Here is a 5,033-nt window from a genome sequence, read left to right as displayed (position 1 = left end):
CCTGTCAGCTATAACTTGGAACAAGCGTCAGGAGTGGAATGGTCCAAGTGTGGAGCAGCTGGATTTGCTTCTCTGAATTCCTAATCATGGTTCCAGCCTACATCACACCAGGCTGAGCTGGACTTGGATGTGATTCTAGGGAACACGTGAGCCTTGGCCCTCAGGAAATGTCTCTTTTTTTTTTTTTTTTTTTTTTTTTTTTTTGAGACGGAGTCTCGCTCTGTCGCCCAGGCTGGAGTGCAGTGGCGCGATCTCGGCTCACTGCAAGCTCCGCCTCCCGGGTTCACGCCATTCTCCTGCCTCAGCCTCCCAAGTAGCTGGGACTACAGGCGCCCGCCACTACGCCCGGCTAATTTTTTGTATTTTTAGTAGAGACGGGGTTTCACCGTTTTAGCCGGGATGGTCTCGATCTCCTGACCTCGTGATCCGCCCGCCTCGGCCTCCCAAAGTGCTGGGATTACAGGCGTGAGCCACCGCGCCCGGCCAGGAAATGTCTCTTTTGAGGATGACTGTACTGCCACTACTAACCTAGGAAAATGAGTGGATTTGACAGCTCAAATTGGTGGAAGAAACACTTGGACCAGCCTCAGGCACTGCTTGGGCACTTAGCCAGCTGAAACAGGCATGACTAATCACGAAGCTCATTTGGTGGCATAAAAGGGACAGTTCTATTGGGGTCAAGTGAGAGGCCTGGGGAGTATTCCCAGGCGTGTGCTTCCCAGAATCAAAGGCAAAATGATTTTTTAACAATGACAGGACGGGTGGCATGACCATTTCCAGTACTGTTGGCATATTTCTCCCTCCTAATCTTTATAATCCCAGGGGTGTTGGTAAAAACATTTAACCATCAGTGTGGTAATTGAACTGACCATTCAGAAGAGATGCTGGGTGTAACGTGGGATACGGTCTCGCCTGGGTGCACCTGATGATTTCCAAGTCTGTGCTGTCCTCTGGCTTCTTTCCAAAAGGCTCATGTGAAGTGTGCACCTCCCAGAGCACACTGCTCTGTGTGTGCTTCCAGAACAACACACACACATTTGCCTACTGAATGGTCGTAAACCAAGACAGACACACTGATGCCAGCAAGTGGTTTGGATGCTCTGTTCAAGAGGTGTTGTTCTGTGAAACACTAATCCTGCAAGACGGTGTGCTGGACCAAAAAAATCTGTTTCATGGTCAAATACATTTAGGGAAGTGCTTCATCTTCTGTTTACTTCTTGGCAATTTATAATGCACATTTATATACTAAGAGCTTTGAGAAGTCTTGCAAGAATGAAACCTATTTAATTTTGATATATAAGCATTTCCCACCTTTTCCCTTTTTTTAAAAAAAACCCTGGAATTTTCCTGCCTTCCTCCCATCCCCATAGACTCCCTGTCCATAAAACAAACTTTTGTGTTTGTTCTTGGACATATAAATAACAAAATAAAAATGATAAGACAAGATGTGAATGCACAGCAAAAGTACGTAATTATCTGTGTGTCAAGAATAAGTCTATTTTCATGTTGAACCTGAGATGGATATTTAAGGTACATATGAATTGCTGCCAATTTAGGCAGCAAGCAAATCTCAAGGCACTGTTCAGCTAGGGCTAGTGTTTTTGTGATCAATTTCTGAGGAATAAACCACCACAAGACTTAGTGGCATTAAATAACATTTATTACGCTTAAGATTTTGCAGGTCAGGAATTTGGACAGAGCTCAGAGGGAACAGCTCATCTCTGTTCCCTGATGACTGGGATGGCTCACATGGCTGGAGATGGATGGAACAGTTCAACTGGGGATATATATCTGAGGCTATGTTTCCAAATATCAGTTGGGTTTCTCAGTTTTTCTCCATGTCACGTCTGCTGGGGTTGCAATGTCCAAAGTGACTTTTTCGCTTCCATGTCTGGTGCCTTGGTTGCAACAGCTGGAGCAGCTTGGGCTAGCTGGTCATTGTTCTCCTTCCACAAGGCATCTCTGCTCATCTAGCTTGGGATTCCTCACAGGATGGCAGTCTCAGAGTAGTGAGACTTACATGTTGTTGGCTTCTCTCAGATTGAGTCTTCTAAGAGGCATGGCAGAAGCTACAAGACTTCTATAACCTAGCCTTGGAAGTTCTAGAATACCACTGCTTCTGAATTCTATGGATCAAGCAAGTGATGGCCAGCTCAGGCTCCAGGGGATGGAAAATGCTCCACTTTTTTGATGAAAGGAAAAGTAAAGAATTTGTGGTTGTCTTTAATCTACCACAGGCATCTCACTGGTCAGCTCTCTTAGACATCAGTCTCTTAGCCGAAATGTCAGTTGTGTCCCACCTGGCCTCAGATTTATCTTAAGCAATGCTTGGAAAAATTCTTTTAGCTCTGGATGCCACTCAGAAAACATAAAAGATTAATGACTGAACCCATCTAGACAAAACAATAATTTAAATGTCCATAAAACCACAGACTAGAATTACTATTGCATGTGGATCTAGCATTAATGCCTATCATCCTGTATGAGGGATGAACTGTTAGAACCTTTCTCCAGACTCCAGAAAGGGTCAGAAATGCCTCTGGTCTGGTCCTCTCTGATCTTTCTCTCAATATCCTGTTCTTATGTCCTCCACATCTCTATGATGCTCATTAGTTTCAGCTAGATCAGTCATATTTGGGCCTTTATATAAACTATCAAGAATACTCAGTTTCTGACTAGGATTGCTCTAAGATTTCTTTTCAGACACATACACATATTTAATTTTGAGAAAGTAATACAGAAGTTTACAGCTACTATTTGGTATCTGTAAACTTTAATGGCCAAAACTGCAATTACTTTTGCACCAACCTAATACATAACCAACAACCATATTCTCACTTCCCTAGAGTTTACAAATATCAACATGCTAATCTGTGTTCTACAAAGTTTATTGTTATTATTATTTATTTATTTTTTGAGACAGGGTCTCACTCTGTCGCCCAGGCTGGAGTTCAGTGGCGCGATCTCGGCTCACTGCAGCCTCTGTCTCCTGGGTTCAAGTGATTCTCCTGACTCAGCCTCCCGAGTAGCTGGGATTACAGGCATCAACCACTACGCCCAGCTAATTTTTTGTATTTTTAGTAGAGATGGGAGTTTCACCATGTTGGCCAGGCTGGTCTCAAACTCCTGACCTCAGGTGATCCACCTGCCTCGGCTTCCCGAAGTGCTGGGATTACAGGCGTAAGCCACCACCACACCCGGCCTGAAGTATTTTTTTATTGCATTTTTTCCCCCTACATCCCCAGAGGTAATCACCATCATGAATTTCATGGGTAGGATGATATTTTAAGTGTAGTGTTTTCGTCAACGATTTTATAGCTCTATTCTTCCCTGTTTCTAATTTACTGCTGCACAGATCAGCAACTGAAATTTAAGGAGGCTGACCGTCTCAAAATTCTCTCTGCTCTATTATTTGTGACTAGCTTTCCTCTCTCTATATGGTGTGCTACTGAGGGGATTATTATCCAGGCTTTGTGGAAGAGAACTATTTTTTTAGGAAGAGATACCCTGAAAATATTTCTCCGTCTGAGCAGAACCATTATCCCCACCATAAATATTATCTGCAAGTTGGTACTTAACTGTTTCTAGGCCACCACACCTGTAACCTTTGGGCTATAGTTACAGAAACCACAAGGCTTTGTCAGAAAAATGTGTAAATTCTCTGGCCTTTCCAGTATGTTGGTATCAATGTCATCTTGTTCCCACAGATGCAAAGACTGGCATGCAGCTCAGCACTCTGGTTGTGATTCTCAACTCTCTCAGACTTAACTCCTCTCTTTAAAAATACTGTAATGCTCCTTTTCATCAACTACATAGATAATACAACTTACCTTCATAAATAATTTAAAAAATAATGTAATGACCTGGCTACAATATAAAAGGGAGATAATCTTATAGTAAAATAACATTTTTCAACATGTAAATGCTTGGATACAATACCATAGTCAGATGATGGTACCTGTATGTCAGTCATCAGGAATGAATCAGCCATGGCCAGATGCAGTGGCTTACACCTGTAATCCCAGCACTTTGGGACGGTGAGGCAGGCGGATCACTTGAGGCCAGGATTTGAGACCAGCCTGGCCAACATGGTGAAACCCTGTCTCTACTAAAAATACAAAAATCAGCTGCGTGTGGTGGCGTACACCTGTAATCCCAGCTACTCAGGAGGCTGAGGCAGGAGAATCACTTGAACCTAGGAGGCAGAGTTTGCAGTGAGCCAAGATTGTGCCACTGCATTCCAGCCTGGGCAATAGAATGAGACTCTGTCTCAAAAACAAACAAACCAAAACAAAACAAAAAAAGGAACTCAGCAGCCATGAATGTAGGCTGATCTAGGTATAGTCATTAGCAGGGTGATTTTCTGAAATAATGAGCAATTTTTGGTAGAGTTTCATATAAAACAAAGTACAGATTTCTTAAAAGTTAAAGAATAACCATATGACCCAGCAATTACACTCCTAGGTATATAACCCCAAAGAATTGAAAACAGGTATCCAACCCAATACCCATCCATGAATGTTCATAGAACCACTATTTATAAGAGCCAAAATGTGGACACAACCGAAATGTCCATCAGTGGGTGAACGGATGAAGCAAATGTAGACTATATGTATAATGAAATATTATTCAGCCGTAAGAAGGAGTAATGTAGTGATACATGCTATAAACGTGGATGCACCTTGAAAACAGGCAAAGTGAAAGAAAGAGGACACAAAAGGTCTCATCCTGTATATTTCCACTTATATGAAACAAATATCCAAAATAGGTGAATCCACGGAGACAGTAGATTGAGGTTGCCAGGGGCTAGGTTGAGCAGGGAGCAGAAAGTGACTGCTTCATGGATGTGGGGTTCTCTTTTGGGGTGATGGAAATGTTTTGGAACTAGATGCAGTGGCGGCTGCACAATAATGTGAATGTGTATTTATGCCACTGAATTATTCGCTTTAAGATGGTTAATTTATATTATGTGAATGTCACTTCAATAAAAAACAAAGACTGGATGCGGTGGCTTAACGCCTGTAATCCCTGCA

The sequence above is a fragment of the Homo sapiens genome, chromosome 2, assembly GCF_000001405.40.
Source record: "Homo sapiens chromosome 2, GRCh38.p14 Primary Assembly".
Classification (NCBI taxonomy): Eukaryota; Metazoa; Chordata; class Mammalia; order Primates; family Hominidae; genus Homo; species Homo sapiens.
Note: the sequence above shows the minus strand (reverse complement) of the source record.